Here is a 27,220-nt window from a genome sequence, read left to right on the forward strand (position 1 = left end):
GGGACACGCGCCCAGCTCTGTAGCCTCCTCCGTCGACTCAGCCTTAGGTACCGGTCAGGCAAAATGCGGTCCTCCCTGGCTCCGGGAGTCTGGTTCTTCCGGGCCTTCTCCAGGGACAGCTGGTGAGCGGGGCAGGGGAGGGAGGCGTGCCGGGACCTCCTGGGCTCGGGGCTTGCAGGGGCCGCGGGGGGCCTCGGAGATCACCCCAGATCGGCCCCGGCGTCGCCGCGTGGCCAGGGGTGCTGGGGGGACTTGGTCCCGAGCTCCTCCAGCGGCGCCCGCCTCGGAGGTTGATAACCCTCCCTGCCCAACTCCGCCCGCGCTCCCCCAGACCCCGCGACGCTGGCTCGGTGACACTGGGGAAGAACAGGCTGCCAGGGAGGGTCTCCATCGTTTCCCGTTTCCATCCTCCCCTCCTAACACACATCCGGGGCGCCTTCAGAGCGCCTTTCTGTCGTTGGGCAGCTGGGGAACCTGGGCTCGAAGGCTGGGGAACCGAGGCCAGGGGATGGTAGAGGAAAGGGGTTGCCACTGGGGTTTGTGAGTGTCCCTCTTGGTCTCCTTTAGCCCTCGAACACCAAGGCCAGAACTCAGTGGTCCTGGGAGCTCGTCTCGAGGCCTTTCAGCACCTGGAAAGGGCACAGCTCTCAGAGCAGAGCAGGGCAGCCCCTCGGCAGTGGGAGAAGGGCTTCACAGAGGTTCTCTTCCTGACCGCAGGGACCACATGTTGGGCTGCAAGGTGGGGTGGAGGGGTTTCAGCCACTCTTCCTTAGAGGCGGTCAACCATTGGAGCAGTCCGTTTGGTCTGCACAGTTTTTAAAATATTGTGTTAGTTGCCATTATTTACAAATCATAAAATTTAACAAAAATAGCTAGATTCCAGACTTCTCTTGAACAATAGACGACGTGGACCGGGCATGGTGGTTCATGCTTGTAATCCCACCACTTTGGGAGGCCAAGATGGGAGAATTACATGAGGCCAGGAGTTCGAGACCAGCCTGGCCAACATCGTGAGACCACCCCTCCATTCCCCCCTCACACCCCTCCCTGTCTCTAGAAGTAAAAAAAGGAAAGAAAAGAAAAATGGATGATGTAGCAATACTGGGCCTAAATTTCCAAATTAAATGAATAGGATTGAGGAGTCCCCTTTAGATAGGGCAGGTGCTATTAAAGTGGCCAATTTGTCCTGGTTTTGAAACAGTCTTTTGTCGGCAACCCTCTCAATCCTGGGCAAAATGAGACAATTGGCTACCCTACACACTTTTTAATTGTTGAGAGCTCTCATCAATTCTAACCTTCTTCACTCGTTTAGATTATTTACCTAGTCTTTTTTGAGTTGGAGACTGTTAAAAGATATTTTTCAGAAAAAGATTAAAATCCTGACTCTCACAAAGACATAAGAATGAACCCATGTTAAAGATTTTCTTTTACTCATAATAAAGGAGGCAGAAGATGTTATAATCGGTTCAAAAGAGAATCTAGAGAGGGGGATTGGGGAATTATTGTTTAATGGGTATGGAGTTTCAGTTTGGGAACATGAAAAAGTTCTGGAAATGGATGATGGTGATGGTTGAGAGACAATGTGAACATACTTAATGCCACCTAAATGTAGACTAAAAATGGTTAGAATGGCAAAATTTATGTTATGTATATTTTACCACAATTTTAAAAAGAGAATCTAAAGAACATATTCATTTATAGGTTAGGAATATTGAGACCAAATTGGTCTTCTACAGGTTGTGAGGGAAGACTACTGAAATTATCTTCATAGGTATATTTTGCATGGCTTCTCAGTTACCTACCACTTCAAAGAATTTTAAAATAGCTCAAGGTCAATTAAAAGCTGGAATCTGATAACCTGGCGGACTATGTGCTAGACAAGGCATAGTTTTCCACGGAAATACATTGTTTTTCTACAGTCTCTCCTGTTTTGATTTTTAAGAAAATTCTTAGAAGGATTATTCTTGATCACAAAATAAAGCTGATCTCATTGGATTTGACTTGATTGTGGCTGCAAGTGTGTTAGTTTACCATATACCCCTTGTTAAGTTAATAAACTTAGCTGGAAGTTTTCATAAGGAATCCTAGATTAGATTTTTTAAAGCCTTTAATTATTTATTGTCCTGACATTAGTAAGCCGAGTCAAGAAACTGTCTTCACCAGGTTTTACCTACTGTACTGATGTATTTGGGCAAATTCCTCTTCTCAGGGTCCCCATAATATCCTAAAGTTTCTGGGCTAGCCAGAGAGTGACCTTCCTTTTGGCTTGTAAACCTGGAAACCCAGTAAGCCCATTTTCTTGGGAGGTTTTTCTTAGTATTGGCTGCATAGAGTGAACCTCAGTTTTTAGAGGAGGCTGGTTGTATCTGATTAAATAGGCATCCTGATCAAATACAACATCCCGGCAAGGTCTTGGTTGCATAACCAATTTTTCTAATTATGTACTGGTAAAAAAAAAATTCTTACTGAACCTGTGCAAATAACCATACTTCCATGAAAAGCAAGAAGATTCCATAAGAGTTTCTGAATTCTGAGGAGTCAGGTAGGGAGAAAAAGATATTTATAAGTGTTTCATTTCAGTTTATGAAAGCAGAATCTACTAAGTTCTTATGGGTTAATATAGCCTAAGAAGAAAGAGAAAGGTCTTCCTTATATGTCCAGAAAATAGAACACTATATCAACATCAACAGTATTCTGAACATAGAAGACAGTCATCCATCCCCAGTTCATGCGGTCCTGTGTGATTAATTCTGTCCCGCTGAATCTTGGGTTAGCAATCTCAAAAACCTATCTGCTTCTTGACTAAAGAGTTCTGGAACTCCTGACTCAGTCCACTAGTACGTTCTTAATGTTGTCTAAGTAGTTCCATCAGAAACTTATATCCAAGAGCAATTACTCAGTACAGTGCTTTTCTGAGACAGTATTTGGTTGTTAAAGATAAAAACTCTGGCCTGCCAGGCCCAGTGGCATGCTTACAGTCCCAGCTACTCAAGAGGCTGAGGTGGGAGGATCCCTTAAGCCCAATAGTGTGGGACTGTAGTGCACCATGATCATGCCTGTGAAAAGCCAGTGCACTCCAGTCTGGGCAACACAGTAAGATCCCATCTCTCAAAAAACAAAAATCTCCCACTCTATTCTATAACTGATTACAGAGCCTTTAAGAAGCATCAAAGTAAAATAAAAACTATCTGTAGGTGACAGAGACTTAAAAATTGTTGATTAACTTCTTACTGATAATTTTCAAGAATGAATGATCTGATGAGAATTCATGACAAGAATAATGCAACTGACAAGGAAATTTGGTTGCTTCTGTGGTGTGCAAAACAAAAAGATGTTAATCCAAACAGAAAAAATCTAGACAACGTCTAAAAATATAAGGTTAATTTCAAAAAACACAATGAACATATTAATTTATAAAAATGAACATGATTTTTACAGAGAAAAAATTTTAAGATATAATATATAAAAATTCTGGGATATAATTTACATAAAATGCCAAGAATATCAACTAAAGATATTCAGTAAGCTTAACATAAGTTCTAAATATCTGTATTTTAATAAAACTGCAAAGGAAAGGCTGATGTACATCTCCAGTTGAAAACCAGTGGCCTGGAAGATGCTACATTTAAATTAAAGAAGGAAAGTTGCAGCCTAGTAACTATTTTATTTTATTTTATTTTATTTTATTTTTTCGAGACAAAGTCTTGCTCTATCACCCAGATTGTAGTGCAGTGGCACGATCATAGCTCACTGCAGCCTCAAACTCCTGGGCTCAAGGGATCCTCTTGCCTGAGCCTCCTAAGTAGCTGATACTACAGGCATGCACCACCACACCCAGCTAAGTTTTTTATTTTTGTAGAGACAGGGTCTTGCTATGTTGCCCAGGCTGGTCTCAAACTCCTGGCCTAAAGCCATCCTCCTACCTCATCCTCCCACCTCATCCTCCCAAAGCACCAGGATTGCAGACATGAGCCACCATGCCCAGCCTCCAGTAACATTTTAAATAATAATTGAAATCGTGACTAGTAACACGTATACTGTTGTTATCGGGGAAGGCACCATCAGGGTGCTGATAAATAGAAACATGTCATGTACAGAGAGGGCATTGAGAAGTCTGCACAACTCTTTTATAGCATATAATTTCTCAAATATTTAGATAAATAATAATATTTTACCAATATAAATTTAACCTAGAGAAGGCTGAGCATCTCTTCTGACTTGACAATTATTTCCAAGCAATTGATCAATATTAACATATTAAATAAATCTAATGATTTCTAGCACCTCTCTTTTTAAAAGATGAAAGAACAAATCTTTGTGGTTTTCCAGGAGCCCTTCCTCTTTTTAAATTAAATATTCACAAACTTATCAAGATTTTGCCAACTTTGGCAAAATTTTAACACATTTAATTGCTTATTTTTAGACTTATTGTTTGATGTACTATAATCCAAGACAAATCAAATTTCCTTTCTACAAACCTAAAATGTATCCATTCAGATTTGACCTTCCCTGTTCCCTTTCTTATTCTGGAACAACCAGTCATTTTTCTTATGTGTAATATTTTTCCTTTTAATAAACAAAAACAGGTTTCAATACCATGTATACAAAGTCATACCTCTCTGCCACGATTGTTCCTAGTAGAGTCTCATTCATGTATATTAGTTATATCTTTTAACCAAAGTAACTAACATTTCAGAGAGAATGGGGAGTGGGGAGGGTGGATCATTATAAACCATCTAGAACACATTGGCATTCTAGAAGGGCTCAGTAATACGCATAACATGACTTTCTCCAGCCTCCAACACTCTTCACTTTCACACTTCTCAAGGTGTGAATTCAGCTACGGTATTCCCCAACATCTCTGGGATTTATGACAGACCTTGGTTGAAATCCTTTCACCACTGTGAGCCTTGACTTTGCTGAGCCCCAGTTTCCTCATCAATAAAAGTCAGATGGGTTCTTGAGGATAAATGCGATAATATAAGGAAACATTCTTGACGTCTTGTGGCTGCTGGAGGGTACTCAACAGGTATCCTTTTACTTCCTTCCAGATAAGTTTAGATTTGGATTCCTATCAAACACTAAATGTCACGTAGTTCTTCTGTAAGTACATTATTATGCTGAGCTCTGAGGCCTGCAAAGACAATCAAGACAGGGTTCTACCTTCTTGGAACTAAGAATCAAGCTGGAGAGGGGCTGTGTACACACAGTCAGCAATTTTAGAAGGCCCTGCTCTACTTATTGAGTGCCAAAGGATGGCATTTCCTATGTGCCATGTCATTCAGAGGACCAGCGAGGGGAATGCAGAAGTCGGTTGGGGAGATTTTGAAGAAAACTGACTTGCTGAGCACTTAACACATAAAAGGTTAGAGATTATATGTATACATTGCCTGGTATACAGGAAGCATGGAATACATGGCGGCTTTTACTATCATTATTAATGATGGTGATGTTATTATTACAGATACATATTAACCCAATTCACCTTTCTTGTGCTAAACAAAATACAGGCCAGGGTGCAGACAAATAAAAATAAAGACTTATAGTCTGAAAATGAGAAATCAAATCTCTGTCACATTTAACTGCTTTCACATGTCCCCAAGGAGGGCATTTAAGAAGTGAAGAAGACAGAATAGGAAGCTGAAAGTGGACTGGCCCTGGGCCTTGGACTCCTCCTCTGTAAAATGAGGATAATAATAATACCTGTATCACACGAGTGTTTTGAGGTTTAAATGAGGTACTACGTGTAAGGTACTTAGGTCAGTGCCAGGCTGATATGAAACACTGAGTAAACACTAATGATTGACTATATTCTATTTGTTTTTCCTACTACTTTGTGCCAGGCATTGTTTATTTGTAATTTTTGTGGAACTGCAAGGTGAATGTTAGCTTCCCTGTGGAACATATGAGTGTAATGAGGCACAGAGCAGTTATGTAAGCCTGTCCAGCACCACACAGCTGATAAATGACTGAGCTGGAGTTGGAATCAAGATTAGTCTGACTCGTAAGCCCATGGTCTTTCCGCTGCCTTCCTAATGATAGTGTTGGGTGGGGAAAAGATTACATGGCCATTTGGCCTTGGACAAATTACTTAACATCTCCCAGGCTCAATTTCCTTATCTATGAAATGGAAAAAATGATGTACCTATATCACGGGGTTTTGGTGAAATTAAATGAGAAGCTGCTTAAAGCACTTAGCCCAGTGTCTAGCGTAGTTGGTATTGGCTAGGTGCTTATAAATTTCTGTGGAGGGAGAGAATCATCTCCATTAGGAGAAGAAGGAAGTCTTTGACTTGGATCTGGAGGTGTTCTGAGCAGAGGTCACAGAGCCAGCAAAGGCATGCAAGTGGAGACATGGCCTGTCCCCTGTCTCTGAAGTAGTAACATGTAGCTCCAGCTGGTAGGAACAAAAGGTGCCCCTGGACAGGAGGCTGGGAGTCATGTGGCGCCAGGTGTGTGGAGACAGCTGCAGACATCCAGGCAAGAGTCAGAGATGGCGGAGTTTCTGTCCAGGAAGATGTTGCTCTCCTCCTCCTGTTAGGCCTTCCTCGTCAGGATGACAATGAATGGCTTGTCCATGGCGTTTCAGAGCCACAGAGCACCTGGAGGTTCCCCAGCCTGGAGCCTGGCTGGTTCCTGCCTTTTGTACCAGTGTCTGTGTGGGTGCGTCTGGGGGCAGCTGGCAGCATGGGAGATGACTGTGGCTGGTGCTTATGGGGCTGGGCCCATTTCCTGGGGCCCTCTGAGGGGGATGGCCCAGAACGTGCAGAAGAAGAGCCTGTGGGAGGAAATACCAGGGTGACCACAGCTGGATGAGCAGGAATGGGCAGGAGGGTGAATTGGGCAGGCAGGAAGAGCAGGAGCTGTGAGCTCCTGTGGTGCCATTTTTCCCACACCTCGATCTTCCCCTGTGAGCTGCAAAAGGCCACAGCTGAGCTAGAATGGATGGTTCTGCCCTGTGGAGTTAGCTAAGGGCTTTCACTGCCGGATCCTGGTGCCCACTCTGAGGAGGACGCAGGGGAAAGACATTCAAATTCATACTGAGAGAAAATCTGCTGTGTGCCAGACACTTCCACATCCAGGATATCTCATTTAATCTTTATAACACTCTCGTGCAGCAGGGGAATATGATCTTATTTAAAGGAAGATCGAACTGAGGCTTAGAGACGTACAACAACTTGCCCAAGGTCACATTAAGTGGCAGAACCAGAAATTAGGACTCAGCCAATTTTGCTCGAAGTCTGATGTCTGTTTCCCTGTCCTATGGGCTAGCTCTCTCAAATCTTACTTTCCTGTTGACTGCAAAGAGGTGCATGGTAAGGGCAGCAGAAAGGGCTGTTTAAAATGAGCTTTGATGGGAAGAGGCTGCTTGGAAAAGGAAATGAGGGCTCCTGGGGAGAACCTGGAGTCTCAGCCCATGATCCCTACTCCGGCCCCCCAGAAGGGGCATGTGAGCCTGTGGAGGTCCCATCCCCCACCCCTCGTGACAGCAGCTTCTCCCCCAGCTGCTTTTTGGGCTTCCTCTTCCACCCTGCTGTTTCCTCTCTCCCTCCCTACAGTGGACTGGCGTGCACCTCATTGACCTCGGGTGGGGCTGTCTGACTCAGGCCCTGTGGGCTGGTCTAGAAGGTAGCAGCAAGGTTTCGAAATAGTCTGTATGGTTGGCCAAGGCCTTGTTTTTTCCATTCAAGCTTCTGTATCAACTGAGAGCTGGGGTCAGGGTTGACAGTCCCAAAGTAACAGCAGAATTGAGGACAGACACCAGAGGTAGAGTCCCTGAAGCCCAGGACCTCCTATCTGAGTCACTAACAGACACTAAGTTGGTGTGTGTGTGGGGTGGGGGGGCGGTGTCACTGCTCTCCTGTTGGCTTCTGGCTCAGGTCTTGTCCCCTGGACGCTTCTTGCTCAGGAGAAGGAAGGCCATCCTCCTCCCCCTCTAAGCAGGACTGCAGCTCTGCCATCATCAACACGCTTCCATCAGTGCTATTTACACAACCTTTCTTCAGAAGAGACACCAACTTAAAACCTGTTGGCTGCCTCTTCTGAGCCCCACCAACACTCCCACCCTCCCTGTTATTCCGGCTGCTGATCAGAGTCCCTGCTGCAGCATGAAGGCTGTCTTCATTCTGCCTGACCATTCAGGGTCCCCCACTCAGCTTTCTTCCCAAAGCAAAACAATCTATCCTGTATTTTCCTCTTTCCTAAGACAGACTGTCATCTGAGCCACCAGTCTCTTCTCAAATGTCCTGAGTTCCTCGTGGCTCCTGGCCAATGGCTTCTTTCTCTAGGAAGGCTCTCAGGGCAAGCCCCGAGTCATCTCGATCTCTCTGAGCATGTGCCCACGTCCCAGCTGGAGGAAGGACAGCAAACAGAGGATTCCCTGAGGGGCTGGCTGCTGCCCTGGGAGAGCTTTGCGCCTCCCAAAGAGGGTCTTGTCCTGTCTTGTGTGCTAAAGACCTGGCTCAGGGCTCTGCACCTGTGGTATCTGTTCCTGGCTGGCCTTTTCCTAGCAGGGTATCTCCCAGTGCTGGTGGAGGGCTTGTGGGGGAGGGGGGGTGGGCACTGTCACCATTGACCCTAGCTTGGTTCTTACTGTGCCCAGCCCTCTATCCTTTTCAGATCTGCTTAGTCTCAGAACAGTCACGTCCGAGAAGAGACTACTGAATCCATTTTCTCTGGACAAGTGCCAAAGTCACCTGCAGCCACAGCCAGCCTAGCCTGGGACTGGGGAGTGACTAGGGAGCCACTGGGGAACCGGGGCTGTTTCTGACATCTCTCGGGGGCAGCGTCCCTCTGCTGGGCTGTTTCTTGTTTTTTGCTGTTGCAGTGGTGGTGGCAGTCGGTCTTTTGGGGGTTTTGTTTGTTTGTTTCTAATCTGTCACTGCTTTGGGACATGCCATTTCTTGATTTTTACCCCAGAAGCATTCCTAGTGCAAAGTCTCAACAAGGTCAATAAAGTTATTATCAGGCTCCTTCGAAAGAGTAGGTTGGACTGTCAGCTAATAGTTAAGAGATAGCTAGTCAACCTCCCTATCTAACTTGGTTATTCAGTAACCAGTATCCGGTGGGGGGGAGGTGGGATTCTGAGAAGTGCCATCTCTTGCTAACAAGGTCTTTGAGGGTCATGGGACAGCCGCCCCATCTGGAGCAGCCGGGGGCCTTCCCCTCCATCCTTTGGTCCTTGGCCTACTTGCCCAGCCTGGCCCAGCCCCTGGGCTGCCATCCCCCCGTCACAGCCACCCTGGGGCCAGCTAGGCAAGGCCTGGCTGTGCATATTCTGTGCCCTGCTTCTCTTCTGGGACCTCTTGATTCACGAGGGAAGGACTGGTGAGAGGAGAAGTGAAACCTGCGGGTTCTAAACATGGAAGGAGTGCGTCAGCTGCCTTTCTGAAGCTAGCATGAGCTTGGCAGTCTTGGCCTCCGTCTAGCCTAGCCCTTAACCTGACCGAAGTTCCCAGTCTCCTGTGAACCACGGCACCTTGATCTTTCTCTTAGAACACCTGACAATGGGGAATGGATAGAGCACCAGACTCAGAGGAGGCCCAGCTCTGACTATGCCATGCCCAGCGAGTGGTGTGACTTTGAGCTCATCCCTCCATCCCTCTGGAGGCCAGGAAGGAAGTCCCAGAAAAGGCCAGTGCCAGGCCTAGTGTCACACAACACAGCTGAGGACCCCCCACCCGCCACCCTCAAGACTCATGACTCTCCTGCTATCTTGGGTGTCAGGGTTTCTACTGGCAGCATCATGGGGGACTCCAGGTGGTGGATTTCAGGGAGTTGGGGTCAGAGCTGGCGGGGACATCAGGCTACCACCTGGAGGAGGGCAGGGCTGGAATCTTGGAACCTACCAGGTCAGGATGCACGTGGGGACCCCTACTGACTTTCCTGTCTGCCCACGGGAGCAGGTGGGAGGGCCCCGGGGCTGGAGTCTCCCCTGTGTCCCACCGTAGGCTCCCCAAGAAGCCATAGGGCCCACCATGGAAGGCCAGAGCTCCAGGAGCTTCAGGGCATCCTTATGTTCATCTAGACCCAGCTATGCACAGCGGGAGGCGGGGTGGAGGGGGACAGGCTGGCAGCCACATCTCTACCTTCCAGGTAAATCCAGGGCCCGGAGCCTCCACTTCCCAGAAGAGTTTGGTTCAGCCCCTGACCCTACTCGGCTCCCCTAACAGAGCAGTGTGGGCCGCCTCCACCCCTCCAGTCCTTCTTCCTGGTCTGAACATTGGAAGCACACTGGCTGTCATCTAAGCGCCCTCTGGGCATCAGGAACAATTTCAGACTGGTTAGGTGCATCTCACTAACCCATCAATAGGTCTGAGAAAGGTGATAGACTCTGCTTTTCCAATGAGCAAAAAGATGTAAGGAATGAAACCAGCTTTTGCCCGATTCCCAAGTCCTTGCTGTTTTCTCTTATAGACATCAACTCCCTGACATCCACCACCTGGGTTCCCCCGTGATGCTGCTATGTCCCTGGGAGTGGCTGGCAGGATGAAAAAGGCCCAGGGAACTGGCCTTGAGCCTCAGTGAGGAAGCCTGTCTGCGCTTCCCACCAAAACCTACAGGGCACAGCCCTGGGTCTTCACCTGGCTTAGGCTGGCTGGGGTTCAGAGCTGCCGACCTGGGAACTCCCGCTCTCTTCAGTGGCTTCCCATCACCTTCAGAGATAGCCTAAATGCCACAGTTTGGCACCTGAGGCCCTGCGCCACGCCACCTGAGGCCCCTGCCCTTCCCAGCCAGCTCTGCTTCTCTGCTTGGCTCAGTTTCACCCTACAGATACCCCCACTGAGGCGGAGTTCCCCAAACAGGTAGTGTCATTTCACACCTCCGTGCCTTCGTGCACGCTGCTTCCTCTCCCTGGCAGTCCTCCCTGCCCCAGCTGTGGTTGACTTGGCCTCGTCCTGCTTGTTTTTGAAGCCTCAGCTCCAGGAATCCTTTCCCGACACTGCTCCCTCCTGCTGGCTCGGAGTCTCTCCTCTGTGTCATCTCTGTAAGAGAGAGACATCACACCAGGTCTAACTGTCTCCCTGCTGACCTGTGCGCCCAGGCAGGTGGAGATTCCGCTCACGGATTCTCTTGCTAGTGCTGGATTGTAGCATGGTGCCTGGTACAGGATGGGCACAGGGATGCATGGGAGAGCAGCCTCGCTTCAGCCGAAGGGAATCAAGATGTTAGAAATGGGCACAGCTCCTCCTACTGAGGTTGTCGGGGACAGAACTCCAGGCAAAAGGGCCATGGAGCAGATAAGGAAGAACACCTGGGGCCACAAGCAGGGGAGTCGGGGAGGGCGGGCTGGAGTTGACACAGTGCAGTTGGGGGAGTGGGGTGGGAGGGGAAAGGGTGCTGGCAGCAGGCTGTGCCTCTGGGTCCCCATTGGCTCTGACCAGCCCTGGGAGGGCTCAGCATGAGTGTGGAGGTGCAGTCTGGCTTCCTAGTCAACACCAGGCTACGGAGCCAGCAAGGGCTTCACTGCCGAGCCTGCAATGAAAGAACAGTCATAGCTGGGGCCCCAGTGGGGCCTTGGGTCCCTGAGGATCTTTCAGACACTGAAAGGATCTGATTTGTCACCATGGTCAGTGGCCAAACATCATGGCAGAGGCCCTGGCACATCCAAGTGGTCATGAAGGCTGGTCCTGCTGCCTGGGGGGCCTTACCGGCAGTATAACCAGGGACCTGGGGACTGGGGGAGAGTCATGCTGTGTTCTCTTATCTTGTGGGACAGCTGGGACTGATACTAGCGCAATGTGTAACTGATGAGGAAACCAGAGGCAAAAAAAAGGCTTAGGGATTCACGGGAGGTTACACAGGCAATTAGTGAGAGGTGCCACGCAAAGCTTCCCGCCTCTCCCTGAACCAGGTGCGTCCCAGGCGGGGCTTGGTGGCTGCTATCTGTAGGACTGCAGGGTTCTTCCATCCATTGCTCTTTGCAGAAGGCCAGCTGGGCACCCTCTTCAAAGTCTCTCAGAGGATTTCCCTCAGATTCTAGAAGTCCCCGAACTAAGAGTCATGAGCCATATGGCAACAGGTGGAACCCGGAAAACATTGTTGCCACAAGCTTGCCTATGTCAGTCACTGTGACAGGCACTTGGAGTAGCCCCAGCTTCCCTAGACAACTTGAGTCCCTAGAGGACCTCTGTGACCCACATGTGTGCCTTTGGGAACCGGTGGCCAGAGAGGCCGGGGCGTGGAGCTGCCTGCATTCCAGACTACACTGTTGCACCTTCATGCTGGATGGGATGGAAAGGCACTGAAAGCGTTTTAGCAGAGCTGTGGAGGGGCAGGAGCAACTTCAGTCTCTCAAGAAGACAGACAGGAAGCTCGATCCAGGGGCAAAGTGAGAAGGAGCCTCGTAGCCCAAGCCCAATTCAGCCTTCGCTGAAATGCCCCTTTGTTTCCCAAGTGGTAGTGGGTGTTGCTTCATGCCACATTTGGGGGAATTGGGTCTGGGGTGTGGAGGAGGATTCCTAGGCCGAGGGAGCATCCAGTGTCCTGCCCTTGGGCTCTTGGAGCCAGGACAGAAAGGGCTTCAGGAGCCCTCCCACCCTTTTTCCTGACCCTTCTCCATGAAGTCTTCAGTGAGCCCTGGGTCTCGCCTAACTCCTGGCCCCTTCTCCTGGACTGGGGCTCCACTCTGAGGCCTATTTTCCATGCATGTCCTGGCTCCTGGCTGCGGCGAGGAAGCAGATAGTGACTCAGCAGGGCTCTGGGGCCCTTCCCCAGGCCTCAGGCTTGGGGAGCGGCCGGGGCACAGTGGAAAAGCTGAGTGCCACCCGCCTGCACTGTTCTTTCCATCCCGGGCCAGGGCATGGGATGAGACGTGAGGGGTGAGAAAGAGCACGTGTGTGAGCCACAGATGGAAAGAATGGGCTCTGTCCAGTGGGATGGACGGACTGGGACTAAGAAGAGGGCTGGGGTCTGTCACCACCTGTCCCACTGCCACTTCCTTTCCAACTACCGCCTGCCTGAAGGAGGTGCTGTGTCTGCCCTGTTCGAAGCTTCAGAGGAGTGTCAACCTCACTTTAAAAACAGACCCTTCTCCCGACTGTCTCCCTCCTACCCCCATCATTTTAGACATGTGAAAACCACTCAAACTCCCTGCCCCCACCTCTGCCACACACATGCACACACACACAGGCGCCCTGACCTCAGGGAGGTCGACAAAAAGCAGAGGTGCTGCCAGCTGGTCAGAGCAGGCGGAGGTGCTTCTTGTGGGCTGGGGCCGAGCCGGCTGCAACAGAGGCCTCAGGAGTTGGGACCAGGGAGACAGGTCCCTCTGAGCACCCTGGCCTCTGGGCATTTTTTCCCAGCCTCCCCTTGGCCTCTGCACCAAGAAGGAAAGAGTTGGTGGTCCTCAGGCCCTGGGACTGCCAGAGGGGACACGGGTCAGGGATGCCGGCCCAGAACTTCCAGCTGGGGCTGACTTCCCACTAACGCAGATGCTGTCCCTTCCTGCAGGTTCCGAGGCCTCATCCTGCTGCTGACCTTCCTAATTTACGCCTGCTATCACATGTCCAGGAAGCCTATCAGTATCGTCAAGGTGAGGCTGGCTGGCAGCAAGGAAGAGTGCAGAAGCACACTGTCGTAACCGTCCTTACCCCTTCCCATGGCCACCGAGGTTGCACCTTCACCTGGCAGGCTCCCACTCTCAGTGGCTGTCTTCCCCAGGAGCTCCTTTTGAGTTTATTCCCCAAGACAGCTGTGTCGGTGGCTGTGGATGGAATAAGCGTGCAGGGCCCCTGGGCTATGTGGATGCTGCTCATGGGTCTGATGTGGCTGCTTTCCCCTGCAGCCAGTTCCTGCAGGAGGAGGTGCCAGTAGCGGGGACATAGAATCTGGTAGGAGGCAGTGTCTCCAGTATGGTTGGGGCAGGTGGTTGCTTGCTCCCCTCTGGGTCAACCCCTGACCTGTATGTCCCATTGCCTATCCAGAGCCGTCTGCACCAGAACTGCTCGGAGCAGATCAAACCCATCAATGATACTCACAGTCTCAATGACACCATGTGGTGCAGCTGGGCCCCATTTGGTAAGAACAGGGCAAGTTGCTCTTCCCATTCCCCATTCCCTCTTCCTCGAGAAGGGGCTGTCCAGGGAGGGCTTCCTGCAGGGGCATCCACGCAGTCAGCTTTCTGTTTCTCCCATCTGCTTTCAGACAAGGACAACTATAAGGAGTTACTAGGGGGCGTGGACAACGCCTTCCTCATCGCCTATGCCATCGGCATGTTCATCAGGTAAGGACAGAGGCTGAGCCTATGACCAAGAGGAGGATGGTTTAGAGCTGCTACCTCCCCTTAAGGAACCTGGGGGCAGCTGGGAATGAGCCCAGGGATGCTGCATGTACAATCCACCCACAGCCATCCTCCTTGCCTTACCGCGGTCGCAGAGACTGCTCCTTCGCCTGGTAGACTCCCACTGGTAGCAGCTCTTTTGCCTGGAAATGTTCTCCTGGATGCTGCTTTTGAGTCTATTCACTCAGATACCACAGTTGGTGGGTATGGACTAGGACCCTTTAAGAATGGCCCTGCGTGCACATATATCTGGGAGAATCCCCATCCTCTGCTGTGTCCAAACCAGCACGGGAAGCATGCTGTTCCTTGCCAGGAATCCACGATCAATAAGGCTGCATACTGCCTCCAAAGAGCTCACAGGCCAGTGGGGGCAATGGATGCATTGGCAGCTGGTGCTAAAACTGTGGCGGCTCCATGACAGAGGTGGCCATCATGTGTTCTAGGAGCTCCGAGGTCATTACTCAGTCCAAGCTGAGCTAGAGCAGAGGGGTCGGGGATGCTTCTTGGATGAGATGGTGCCTGACCTGATGCAAGGGACTTGGGTGCGGCGGTGCAGATGGAGACCTGGGCAGAAGGAATAGCACGAGCAAGTAGGGCAAATGTGAAGAAACAGCATGATCTACGGGAGGAACCGCGGGCAGGTGTATGGAGGGAATGACAGTGTAAGGAAGGTAGCAGCAGGGCTGAGGGCTGAGGTCATTTGCACATGAGGTCCATGGGCAGAGACGCATGGAAGGGTTTTCGCCAGGGCGTCCCATCCAGATGAGCATTTCTGAGAGCTCACTCTGAGAGTGATGCTGAGGTGGATGAGACTGGTCATACAGAGTGACCAATTTGACAGTAGCCCAAGCTGTTGAGCTTATGTTACTACAGTGGTGATAGAGGTGGAAAGAGGCTATGTACTGGAGCACTAGCTAAGAGGTAGCCCGGTGAGTCTTGGAGACTGAATGTGAGGGGTGGGGAGGAAAGGTGGGAGGCTGAGGGAGCTCTGAGCCTGGCTTGAGTGCCCAAGGGGTGGCATTCACTCAGATGAGGATAGCAGGATGATGAAGGCGTCAGGGTGGTTGGTGGGAAGAGGAAGAGGAATTCAGCTTAAGAGCACTGGGTTTATTTAAATGCCCCGGGGGCATCCAAATAAAGATGTCCAGGAGGCACCTGTCTGTGACTGTGAAGCTCTGGGAGACAGATCAGGCCTGAAGATATGCATGTGATGCCTGTGGAGCTATTTAGCCTATGGGTGGTTGTGGCAATGGTGAAAGTGTTGCAAAAGACCGCACCGAGAGGAAAACGCACGACACGAGGGGCCGGCCAAGCGGAGGAAGATGGGAAAGCTAAATTCATGGAGCATGGCCAGGTGTCACAGAAGCAGTGGGGGACAGAGGTTGGCCCCGTCACATGGCAACACAGAAGTCATTGGTGGGACCTTGGCCAGAGCCACTTCCTAGCGTGGTGGGGGCAGAAACATGGTAGGGAGTTGAGGTGGACACAGAGGAGCTTAACCGCAGATCCAACTTTCTCTTCCCCAGTGGGGTTTTTGGGGAGCGGCTTCCGCTCCGTTACTACCTCTCAGCTGGAATGCTGCTCAGTGGCCTTTTCACCTCGCTCTTTGGCCTGGGATATTTCTGGAACATCCACGAGCTCTGGTACTTTGTGGTCATCCAGGTATGAATCACCGTCTTGCACTTGGGCCTGTGTTGCCGTCTCGGGAAGGACCTGGGAGACCGCAGCTCACAGCGGGTGGGAGCCTGTGTTCCTGGCTCCCTGTCCAGTGCTCTCTATTACACTGCACTGAGTTCTACCTCCTGGCCCCACTGCCCCCGCATTTGTTCACTCAGAGAGTTGGCCTTGAGCACAACGCTGTGGTCACTTCCAATGCACGAGAGGCTTGGTCTCTGCTTGAACAATCTTGAGCGAGAGAAGCCAGCTCATGCCATTGAGGAGGTGTGGCATGTGTGTAAGGGAAGGGTAAGGTTTGTAGTGTGGGGTATGGAGGGCCCCTTGGCCACGAAATTGAACCTCCTCAGCCCAGGGTGGTCAGAGCAGGGAGCCAGTCGCACAGCCCAGGCCTGTTCCCACCCTCCCTTCTCTCTCCCTGCAGGTCTGTAATGGACTCGTCCAGACCACAGGCTGGCCCTCTGTGGTGACCTGTGTTGGCAACTGGTTCGGGAAGGGGAAGTGAGTGTAACAAGGGAGGAGGAGTGGGAAGGATTGGGAGGGCTGGGGGTCCTGAGCTGGTCACCGTGGCCTCTGATGTAATTTCAGAGGGAAGGGTCAGAAAGCGGCCTCCACGTTGCTGTTCACGTGCTTAGAAGTGGCTAAAAGCAGTGCTGATTTTCTCACTGATGAGGCTTTAACCCATAGAGCAGGCAACCTTAGTTATGTTTTTTTCTAATAATAGATTAATTTCTATTTTCAACGAAGACAAAAAGAAGCCTATAAAACTTCCGCCCTGCCCCCCAACCCCGACCCCGAATTGGCTTGTGTGCAAAACAAAGTTGCTTTGGAGAAGGAGTTCTCACCCTTGGCACTACTGACTTTCTGGGCTATTGGACCCTTGTTTGGGGACTGTCCTACCACTGCAGGCTGTTTAGTAGTAGCCTTCCTGGCATCTGCTCACTGGATGCCATAGCACACCCTGAGCTGTGACCATGAAAAATCTCTAGCTGTTACCAGATATCCCTTGGGGGTAGGATCACCCCTGGTTGAGGACAGTGCTTTAGAGTGAGATCGTGGGACAGAAGAGAAGAACGAGGGCCGGGGCCCCCATGCCCTCAGTGTGGCTAGAGCTCCCATCGGCACTCACTCAGGGAGCTGGGCAGGCGGAGCGAGACCACAGGCCCTGCAGCCACCTGCTTGACACCATCCAAGGTCTCCCACTCCTTGCTGACTTGGGGCTTTGGGGCTGTCTTTGGTGCCTCGGGGAAGCTGTAGTCAGCCCAGCTTTAGAGCTTGGCTGGGGCAGTTGCTATGAACAATGTGCTTTGCTTTTTACTTTTTATACCTCTTCCCTTCTCTCCCTCCCTTCCAGGCGGGGGTTCATCATGGGCATCTGGAATTCCCACACATCTGTGGGCAACATCCTGGGCTCCCTGATCGCCGGCATCTGGGTGAACGGGCAGTGGGGCCTGTCGTTCATCGTGCCTGGCATCATTACTGCCGTCATGGGCGTCATCACCTTCCTCTTCCTCATCGAACGTGAGTGGGCCCCTCACTCCCCACAAGTGAGCCTAGAAGTTCTCGGTTTCTGGGAGAAGGCAGCTGGATCTACTGGAAAGATTGCTGGTCACAGAGTGGGAGGACCAGCCGTGTGACTTTGGACAATCTTTCAGAGCCTTTATTTTCTCATTTGTAAAATAATAATAGTAATAATAATGTCTATTTCGTAGGATTTCTGCAGGCTTAACTGAGACACCATAGTTAAAATGCCAGGCCCACAGGAGGTGCTTGGCAAGCATTGGTTGAATCTGAGAGGTGTGATCAGGGAGGGTGGAGTTGAAGGGACATTGTTACAGTGACCAGGCTCTCCACTTGCTGCAGGTGGTCTTGTGCACTAGCCAGGCCAGGTATGAGAGCCACTCTGTAGCTAAGAGTACTAAAGTCCAAGAGGCAGTAGTGACACTGCTGGTTGTTAGGAAAGCCAGGCCTAGAAAGCTGTCTCCTGAGCCCCAGGCCCCGCTCCCTCCTGCTGGGACACACACTGGCCACCTTAGGAGCTGGAGGCGGGGCTGGTTCCCGGGATGGCTTAGATCCAGTGCAAGGTGAGGGCCTGGCAATCACCTCGGGATTGGGGGGGCGGGGGTTGGGAAACTTCTTAGAAAGCGATTTTTTTTTCTAGACCCAGAAGATGTGGACTGCGCCCCTCCTCAGCACCACGTGAGTGTGAGCCCTCCCAGCCCTATCCCTGCCCTCCAACTCCATCCAGAGGGCTGGACCCGGAGAGGCCTGGGGAGCTAGAGCAGGGAGTTCTGGCCCTCACTGACCTCACCGACCCAGTGCTAGGCCCATGGGTTGGCCCTACAGCCTGATGAGTCTGGCAGGTCAGTCCAGCCCGAGACGAACGTGTGCCTCCCCATCCTGGGAGCCAGTGTCTCTTGCCTGGGCTGCACCTTCAGCTGGTGGGAGGCAGCACATGGACGCACCCACAGCAGGGCTCATCTCCTCTGCTCAGGGTGAGCCAGCTGAGAACCAGGACAACCCTGAGGACCCTGGGAACAGTCCCTGCTCTATCAGGGAGAGCGGCCTTGAGACTGTGGCCAAATGCTCCAAGGGGCCATGCGAAGAGCCTGCTGCCATCAGCTTCTTTGGGGCGCTCCGGATCCCAGTAAGAAGTTTGTGGAATGGAGGAAAGAGAGGGGCTTTCCAGATTTTTTCTGTTGGTGATGAGGAGATGGGGTGCTTGGGTGATCTATTTTTCTAGAACTTCTTTATAGGGGAGGTGTAAGTTGGGCAGCCTGCTTGGGGAGGGCAGTGTGGGAGATTTGTCTTGAAACAACCTTGCACAGTGGTCATGTTGCTTTTATTGGGACTGGATGTGTTGGAGGCTGCCTTGTGTGGCAGGTGATGGAAAGTACTGGGGTGGTGCTGAGCACCCCTTGGGGCCACCACTGAACCCAGGACCTCTGGACCCCTTCCCATGTGCCCCCTGTTGCACTCCCCAGGGCGTGGTCGAGTTCTCTCTGTGTCTGCTGTTTGCCAAGCTGGTCAGTTACACCTTCCTCTACTGGCTGCCCCTCTACATCGCCAATGTGGGTAAGTCCAAGAGAAGGGGAATGAAGGGGTCTCTGAGGAGGCCAAGGCTGCCTCTGGTGGGAGAGGAAGCCCGTCGTGGTGATGCCTGTGATTCCAGTATATAGGCAGAATTCCTGCTGAACCTCTCCTAGAGTGAAAGGAGCTTGATTTAGTTGTTTACTTAAATGAAAGCTAAACCCAGCAAACTACCCCCTAGACCCTGACTCCAGCCACCTTTTCTCCCCTTGGAACTGAGCTGGGGGTTAGGAACTCAGAGCTCTGTTCTGCAATTCTTGCTATCTTCTTCTCTAGCCCTTAGTGTAGGAGAAACCCCCTCCAGGCTGCTTGGCTCATAGGTGGTAGCATTGGAGGTGCTAGGGAAGGCCTGCCTGCTAGATCTCTCCCCCAGCCCAAGGAAGAGGGCCTGGTGAGTGACCCCACTCCTTGTAGCCTGGTGGTGACCCTGGTGGTCTTCTCCCCGTGGGACCTAATGTGATCGATGCCCCTGTGCCTGGATCTGCTGGGCTGCACTGGTGTTCTGTCCTGTCTCATGGACCTACTCCCGTCTGCTCCTGCCCAGGGATGTATAGATGAGAAGAGCTCATTTGAAAAAGGATGTTTCATGTCCACCTGGCCTGGGTCTCTGCTTTTCCATAGGTCAGGCTGCTCTACCAAACAGCAGCCCACCCCGCCCTGCCCAGCCCCCAGGAGCCTCCAAGCTCCACCAGGGCTGAGGGCCTGTCACCCAGTACTGCTGCCCTCCCTCCCAGCCCTGGGGAGGAACAACAGTGCCTTGCCACACATTGTGCTCGCTCTGAACAGGATACTGTAGGAATTAGTCATGGCCAAGTTCAAGCCATAGCTTGCCCCGCAGCTCTGTCGGGGCCTCTCTCGTGACAGTGTGGAGCACTAGGGCAGCTTTGTGGACACCGTGACTCTTTGTTTTGTGGCCTTGGTGCTGACTTCAGAGTATGAGGCACCCTCGAGGGTGGGGCTACAATCTCAGCTTCTGGACATTCCTTTTTTAAAACATGGAGCCAAGGCCTGTGACCTGAGGCCCCTGTGTCCCTGCAAGTCTCCTTCCTGGCTCTGTGTATGAGCACAGCCTAAGGTAAACGGGAAGAGTTCCTAGTGCTGCTAGGGCCGGAGTGAAGCAGAGAAAGGGCTGGGCTGAGCTTCAGGTTGCGCTCCAGGGGAAAGGTGGCCACGGGACAGCAGGCTCGGGGGCCAGATCCCAGAGCTTGCCAGGGAGGGCTTGTTCTGAGAGGTGAAGGTCATCCTGCAGGGGAAGAGGGCAACACAGGACGGGACCAAGAGGGCGTCTATCCAAACTGCTGCATTCTCACCCTGTGGCCCTGGCCAGCCTGCTCCACAGGTCCCCAGCTCTTCCTCGGAAAAGGGGGCAGTGGTCTGGATCACGCTCTGCAGGGCTTCTAGCTGTGACACTCCAGGATGTTTGCCCCAAACCCCAGGTCTGACCACATACCTGTATTTTCCACAGCTCACTTTAGTGCCAAGGAGGCTGGGGACCTGTCTACACTCTTCGATGTTGGTGGCATCATAGGTGAGGCCTTGCCCTGCTCTGCCAGCAGGCTCCCTTCCCCTCTTTTCTTGTGGGGTGCAGGAAGAAGGGACAGGTCCGATGGGCTATGACCTGGGTAGGTGGCACCAGAGGAAAAATGGCTCCTGGGTTTATTCTCAGCTCTGATCCTGCCTGGCTGGGTGGGCCTAAGAAAGATGCCCTTTTGTTTGGTCTCCAGTAGTGATGGGCACTACAGGAAGGGGAGGGCTGTGGAAAAAGCAGCTCTGCTGGTTCTTGCTGACAGGCCCAGGCCAGCACTGGGGCACAGCTGGGGTGCCAGGCGAGGGGATGGCAGGGTCCTGTCTGGGAGTCAGTGCGTGAGTGGCTGTGTGTTCCAGGCGGCATCGTGGCAGGGCTCGTCTCTGACTACACCAATGGCAGGGCCACCACTTGCTGTGTCATGCTCATCTTGGCTGCCCCCATGGTGCGTATAACCCCGAGGGTGAAGTGCGAATGCATGTGAGCAGGAGCCTGTGTGGGCCTCTGGCCTATGTGCACGTCCACGCGTTACACACATTGATGTCGCTGTGTACGCGTGCACATGCATCATTGTGCACACACGGGGGAGGAGAAGCGAGGGTCAGCAGAGGCACCTTGGAAAAAGAGCCAGACTGCAGACTTTAGAGGGGGATTCATGACTCTTTGGCCTTGGTAGAGGAGACCGCCTCCTAAACTTCTTGATCAAGGAAAGAAGAGATTGAGGTTGAATCTGAGAGAAGACTGTTTGGAGAAAGGGAGATGATAGAGTACCACGTTTTAGACCGTCCATCCCTGGGACATTTAAAGACCAGAGAAATCTGCATAGGCAGGGGAAAAGGAATAGGATGCCCTCTGGGGTTTCAGGGCAGGAGATGGTTGTTGCAGACCTCAGGGCTCCAGGCCAGCAAAGGGATTCCGGGTGACTCTGCCTCTCCCCTCTCCTCTCTCAGATGTTCCTGTACAACTACATTGGCCAGGACGGGATTGCCAGCTCCATAGGTGAGGAGGAGGTTGCAAGTCCTGCCAGGCCAGGGGAAAGGCACTGCCTTGGGGGCCCCATGAGGCTGGCCCACGGGGGGCACTGACAGGTGGAGGGGCTGGGAGGGCTGAAGGCTGGAGAGTGCTCCTGCCTTGGGGTTGGGGCTGCGGGTGGTGCTGCTTCTCTGACTGGCTGTCTCTATGCTGTCCCAGTGATGCTGATCATCTGTGGGGGCCTGGTCAATGGCCCATACGCGCTCATCACCACTGCTGTCTCTGCTGATCTGGTGAGTGGGGCCACCTCCCGAGGGCCAGGGACCGTTCTGGGGGCTTGGTCAGGGCCACCATCTCCAGGTCCATTTCTCCCTGTCTCCCATCCCGCAGAGGAGAAACCGTCAAAGTCCTTCAGAACGCACCATGGGCCCCTCTCCTCTCAAGCCCAAACCCCAGTTACCACCTTCCCTGAGTCAGCCCCTCTCCTGTCCTGGTTCTGCTCATGCTGCTGCTCAGCTGGGCTTCCCCACTCCACTGTCTCTCTCCAGGGGACTCACAAGAGCCTGAAGGGCAACGCCAAAGCCCTGTCCACGGTCACGGCCATCATTGACGGCACCGGCTCCATAGGTCTGTGACTCTAGCTCTGTTGTGGGCCGGCCCCTAGGCATAGTGCCCTCCGGTGGGCAGGGGAGGTGCAGGACCCCTGCTCACGAGGCTGTGCTCCATTCAGGTGCGGCTCTGGGGCCTCTGCTGGCTGGGCTCATCTCCCCCACGGGCTGGAACAATGTCTTCTACATGCTCATCTCTGCCGACGTCCTAGCCTGCTTGGTAAGAGTCTTGGGGTACACAGATAGGTATTGAGGGATGCTCTGTCCTGCCAGACTGGAACCCTGGAGGTCCAAAGCGTTGGCCATTTGGGGTTCTGGGGCAATGAGAGCAGCTGCCCTTTGCTCAGAAGCACTCTCCCTCCCCCGAGTGACCCCTTGCCAAGTGGCAGCGTGTCTCTCCCCCTTCTCCACTGCCAGTCCACGGGTCACCCTGGTGCTGGGCACTCAGTGCTCAGTGCTAACAGTGCCCTCCCTTCCCTCTGTGCCTTGTGCTCCACAGCTCCTTTGCCGGTTAGTATACAAAGAGATCTTGGCCTGGAAGGTGTCCCTGAGCAGAGGCAGCGGGTGAGTCCGGGGAGCTGAAGCTGCCCCTCTACCAACCTCATTTCTCGTGGGAATCAGCCCAGCGCTCAGTTTCTCCAAACGCAGGCTGAGGCTCGACCAGCCCAGACCTGAGGAGCACTGAGCCAGTCCCTGGGTGGCCCTCACCCTGCTAACCTGTCCTCTGTTGTCCCCGTGTATCTCTATAGCTCTAGTATGGTCCTAACCCACCAGTGATAGTATTTTCCTCAAGTCCCATGACTTTTGTGAGTATTTACTTCGAGTCTGTGACTCGAGTGCCATTTGAGTGGGGGCTGCATGCAAATCCTCTGTCCTGCAGTATGACTTTTTCCAACTTTCTCTTTCTTCTTGTGGGCCAGTTGTAAAGACTTTCAACCTCAGCAGAGCATGGTGCTTGGGAAGTGTTTTCCAAGGGGTCTGAGATGCCACAGAGGTTGGTGGCCTCTTCCCTGAGGGACAGTGTGAGAACTTTGGACATGCCCTCGGGGACAGAGGAGGCAGAAATAGGGAAACCAGTTTCCCTCTGAGCTGCGACTGAGCTGCAAGTGCCTCCTGAAGTTCAGAAACCAAGGTCATCTGGCCCCTCTGCCTGGGGTATGCAGAACAAAAGCAACTACCAATCAAAGTCTCTGAAACAAATGTGAATCAAGCATGGGTGGCTGGCCTGGTGTGCTCTCTGCCTACTGTCTGGTGGTGGTGGATGTGGTGGTGGCATCAGCAGGTCAGTGGCTGAGGCTACACAGTGCTGGTGGTCTGATGGTCGGGCGACCCTCTCCCGCTGGCCGTCCTGAGCAGGAGCCTCGTGCTAACAAGGAGGCCGCTAATGAGCTGGCCGGAGCTGTGGACCTGGGCTGGATGGCAAATGTGAGGAGGAACCCCCGGGACATGGTAACCAGCACGCATCTGGGGACACACTTCCACTTAAGGAAGACACCACCCAGGGGAGAGAAAGTGAGAGCAGGAAGACACACAACACAGGAAGCACGCAGAGCACCTGTCCTGCCCTGCCCTGCCCTGCCCTGGAAGAGGGGAGCAGGGGGCTGGACTGCATGACCCAAAGTTCCTGTGCCTGTGCTCCTTGGAGCCAGGCCTGAGGGTGGGAAGGGAAGAAGAGCAGCAGAAAGCGAGGAGGATTTAGTGAGCAACTGCTCTGTCCTGGAATTGTGTCTGGCTTTAGACGTGTGAGCTTGCCTCGCAGCAGCCTCTCATTGAAGGTGAGAGACAGAGGCTCAGAGCTCGGGCACAGCCTAACACTGAAACTGGGCCTGGGGTTTGTTTGCTTTTCTCTGGACTGCCACCGCTGTCCCAGGCTGGTCCTGCTCCATGGGAGGCCTGTGTGTGAGGTGTGCAGTGATTTATCAGAGCAGACAGAGCACTGTGCTTGGAATCCAAAAACCCCTGGACAGTCCTGCTTTCTCCACTCACTCCATGAGACCTTGGGCATAGCACTCCATCAGACCCAGATTCTCTGAACCACCACATCTTTATGTATGAATGGGGATGCTTATCCCTGAATACCTGGCAGAATTGACCCAAGGCTGAGATAAATGGGATATGTGATATTGCTTTGTAAAGCTGTCAAATGTGGCATGAACATTGTAAGGTTTTATTTAATTTCTTTTTTTTTTTTTTTTGAGGCGGAGTTTTGCTCTTATTGCCCAGGCTGGAGTGCAGTGGTGTGATCTCAGCTCACTGCAATCTCCGCCTCCCAGGTTCAAGTGATTCTCCTGCCTCAGCCTCCCGAGTAGCTGGGACCACAGGCATGCGCCACCACGCCCGGCTAATTTTGTATTTTTAGTAGAGACAGGGTTTCTCCATGTTGGTCAGGCTGGTCTTGAACTCCCAACCTCAGGTGACTCACCCGCCTCGGCCTCCCAAAGTGCTGGGATTACAGGTGTGAGCCACCGCGCCCGGCCAGGTTTTAAATATTAATCTAGCTTGCTATTTCCTGCCTGAGAGGTGAAAGGGAGGCCTCATTACAGAGAACTGAGATGAAAGCAATGATGAAGGGACCCTGGGACCCTGCCTTTCCTCTCCCTACTCAGCAGGAGCTTATGAAGTCATCTCACTTTCTCTTCTGTCCCCCCTCTCCTCTTCATGCAGGTATAAAGAAATATGAGGCCCCAATTGGAACAGCAGCATGGAGGGTCCCAGTTGGGTCCCCAACGTGCTCCCCATGGGCAAGACAATGGAAACTTCCACAAGCAGGGAAGGCAAACCCTCTTTATTGAACATTAGCCAGCCCAGCCCAGACCCCAGGGCTGCCTAAGGACACAGAGATTCTCCATGGGAAGGGGACTGCCAAGCATGAGGAAATAGAAGATTCAGGGGCCTGAGCTCTGGAAGCTGCAAGCAAAAGGGATGGGACTAGGGCTGAGTTGTGTCTCCATTTTGATAAGGAAAGGATATGCTCAGACTCTTGCTTGTTCAGATTCCAAGACAGAAGGCTTCACAAGGCCAACGCCTGGAAAATGGGCATCTCTCCTTCCCATGTTAAGCTTTAACCTCTGTAATCTGCCTGTATCTATAGGTGGGCATCTCACTCCACCAAAGGAGCCCAGCCTCTCTTTGTCCCTCTATCCATGCAACAGTCTTCTCTGTGCATTTCCCCAAGCTGGGCCCTCTTCTACTCTCCATTTAGGCCTGTTGATAACTCCATTACCCGCCCATCACTGCTGTTCCTCCAGGGCCAGCACTCGGGCGAGGCAGGGGAGCTGCCTTCGGTACATAATTTGAAGGGGCACTCCCTCTTGGGCACATGCCGGCCCTGAGTGCCTCCCTTGCCTCACTCTGATCCTGGCCCCATAATGTCCTCAGTGGAAGGTGATGGGGGCCGGTGCTGTGGGGAGAGTAGAAAGAGGGGTTGGCATGACTAAAAATACCAGTATGTGTATTAAGTATTTTGAGAATGAAATGCCAAGGAGTGCCTACTATATGCCAGCTCTAGGAATGGAGTAGACAGTGGACACAAGAAGGACTTACGCCCTGAGCACAGGTGCCAATGGTGACAAGACTGGCAAGACGTGAGGGCATGAATGGTTCATTCAGGCAGCTGCTGCAGATGTGGTCACCTGGTGCCATCTGCTGCTCCCTTTTCCACTTTTCTATGTCCTCCTTCCACCCCAAGTCCCGGATCACTCGCTGTTTTCTGGCTAGCTCTTGGCATCTCCATCTGAGCCTAAAGTTGCCCACTGGCACCAATAGATTCTGTTTGACCTGCTGTGCCCATGCTCATCTTTGTCGGGGCTTGGCTTGGCAGCGAGCGAGGCTGGCATGGGGTGCTGAAGTGGGGTCTCAGTGAGGGGTGACAGCGTGCTGGCAGTCCTCACAGCCCTCGCTCGCTCTCGGCGCCTCCTCTGCCTGGGCTCCCACTTTGGCGGCACTTGAGGAGCCCTTCAGCCCACCGCTGCACTGTGGGGAGCCCCTTTCTGGGCTGGCCAAGGCCAGAGCAGGCTCCCTCAGCTTGCAGGGAGGTGTGGAGCGAGAGGCGCGAGCGGGAACCGGGGCTGCATGCAGCGCTTGCGGGCCAGCTGGAGTTCCGGGTGGGCATGGGCTTGGCGGGCCTGCACTCGGAGCAGCCGGCCGGCCCTTCCGGCCCCGGGCAGTGAGGGACTTGGCACCCGGGCCAGCGGCTGCAGAGGGTGTACTGGGTCCCCCAGCAGTGCCGGCCCACCTGCGCTGTGCTTGATTTCTCGCTGGGCCTTAGCTGCCTTCCCGCGGGGCAGGGCTCGGGACCTGCAGCCCGCGGTGCCTGAGCCTCCCACCCGCTCCATGGGCTCCTGTGGGGCCCGAGCCTCCCCGACGAGTACCACCCCCTGCTCCAGGGCGCCCAGTCCCATCGACCACCCAAGGGCTGAGGAGTGCGAGCGCACGGCGCGGGACTGGCAGGCAGCTCCACCTGCAGCCCCGGTGCGGGATCCACTAGGTGAAGCCAGCTGGGCTCCTGAGTCTGATGGGGACGTGGAGAGTCCTTATGTCCTGCTCAGGGATTGTAAACACACCAATCAGCACCCTGTGTTTAGCTCAAGGTTTGTGAGTGCACCAGTCGACACTCTGTATCTAGCTGCTCTGGTGGGGCCTCGGAGAACCTTTATATCTAGCTCAGGGATTGTAAATACACCCATCGGCACTGTGTATCTAGCTCAAGGTTTATAAACACACCAATCAACACCCTGTGTCTAGCTCAGGGTTTGTGAGTGCACCAATCAACACTCTGTATCTAGCTGCTCTGGTGGGGCCTTGGAGAACCTGTGTGTCGAAACTCTGTATCTAACTAATCTGATGGGGACGTGGAGAACCTTTGTATCTAGCTCAGGGATTGTAAACGCACCAATCAACGACCTGTCAAAACAGGCCACTCGGCTCTACCAATAAGCAGGATGTGGGTGGGGCCAGATAAGAGAATAAAAGCAGGCTGCCCGAGCCAGCATTGGCAACTCGCTCGGGTCCCCTTCCACGCTGTGGGAGCTTTGTTCTTTGCAATAAATCTTGCTACTGCTCACTCTTTGA

At 52.7% G+C, this 27,220-nt stretch overlaps 1 protein-coding gene across 5 annotated transcripts, besides 5 other annotated features; it reads left to right on the forward strand.

Moving 5' to 3' along the window:
• SLC37A2 (solute carrier family 37 member 2) lies at positions 1-27,212 on the forward strand. 5 transcript variants are annotated; one of them, XR_007062459.1, is made up of 19 exons: positions 1-122; positions 13,453-13,534; positions 13,926-14,019; positions 14,146-14,224; positions 15,808-15,943; positions 16,380-16,456; positions 17,310-17,476; positions 18,117-18,154; positions 18,450-18,602; positions 18,940-19,030; positions 20,511-20,573; positions 20,930-21,015; positions 21,521-21,569; positions 21,762-21,835; positions 22,091-22,169; positions 22,273-22,370; positions 22,650-22,714; positions 22,900-23,925; positions 24,815-27,212. XR_007062459.1 is itself a non-coding variant. In NM_198277.3 (19 exons), the coding sequence occupies exons 1-18, from the start codon at positions 64-66 to the stop codon at positions 22,925-22,927; spliced, it is 1,518 nt and encodes a 505-aa protein (NP_938018.1). In that variant the 5' UTR covers positions 1-63; the 3' UTR covers positions 22,928-22,956; positions 24,815-27,212. The 5 variants fall into 5 exon arrangements, 3 of the variants coding, with proteins under 3 accessions (NP_938018.1, NP_001138762.1, XP_047282500.1); XR_007062460.1 differs by having other exon boundaries at positions 22,900-23,575; NM_198277.3 differs by having other exon boundaries at positions 22,900-22,956.
• Positions 210-289: a silencer, noted in NCBI's record as "silent region_4037". NCBI's record gives its function as "represses an Ori minimal core promoter by ATAC-STARR-seq in GM12878 lymphoblastoid cells {active_cell/tissue: GM12878}" and the evidence as "EXISTENCE:reporter gene assay evidence [ECO:0000049][PMID:35858748]".
• Positions 9,187-9,486: an enhancer, noted in NCBI's record as "active region_5692". NCBI's record gives its function as "activates an Ori minimal core promoter by ATAC-STARR-seq in GM12878 lymphoblastoid cells {active_cell/tissue: GM12878}" and the evidence as "EXISTENCE:reporter gene assay evidence [ECO:0000049][PMID:35858748]".
• Positions 9,547-9,716: an enhancer, noted in NCBI's record as "active region_5693". NCBI's record gives its function as "activates an Ori minimal core promoter by ATAC-STARR-seq in GM12878 lymphoblastoid cells {active_cell/tissue: GM12878}" and the evidence as "EXISTENCE:reporter gene assay evidence [ECO:0000049][PMID:35858748]".
• Positions 18,246-18,795: an enhancer, noted in NCBI's record as "H3K4me1 hESC enhancer chr11:124951446-124951995 (GRCh37/hg19 assembly coordinates)". NCBI's record gives its function as "activates a minimal SCP1, AML or CMV promoter by ChIP-STARR-seq in naive H9 embryonic stem cells {active_cell/tissue: H9 hESC(naive)}" and the evidence as "EXISTENCE:reporter gene assay evidence [ECO:0000049][PMID:30033119]".
• Positions 19,223-20,422: an enhancer, noted in NCBI's record as "CDK7 strongly-dependent group 2 enhancer chr11:124952423-124953622 (GRCh37/hg19 assembly coordinates)". NCBI's record gives its function as "activates an origin of replication core promoter dependent on BRD2, BRD4, P300/CBP, MED14 and CDK7 cofactors, with strong dependence on CDK7, by STARR-seq in HCT116 cells {active_cell/tissue: HCT116}" and the evidence as "EXISTENCE:reporter gene assay evidence [ECO:0000049][PMID:35650434]".
• Positions 27,213-27,220: the final 8 nt, after the last annotated feature.

Source organism: Homo sapiens, chromosome 11, assembly GCF_000001405.40.
Source record: "Homo sapiens chromosome 11, GRCh38.p14 Primary Assembly".
Taxonomy (NCBI): Eukaryota; Metazoa; Chordata; class Mammalia; order Primates; family Hominidae; genus Homo; species Homo sapiens.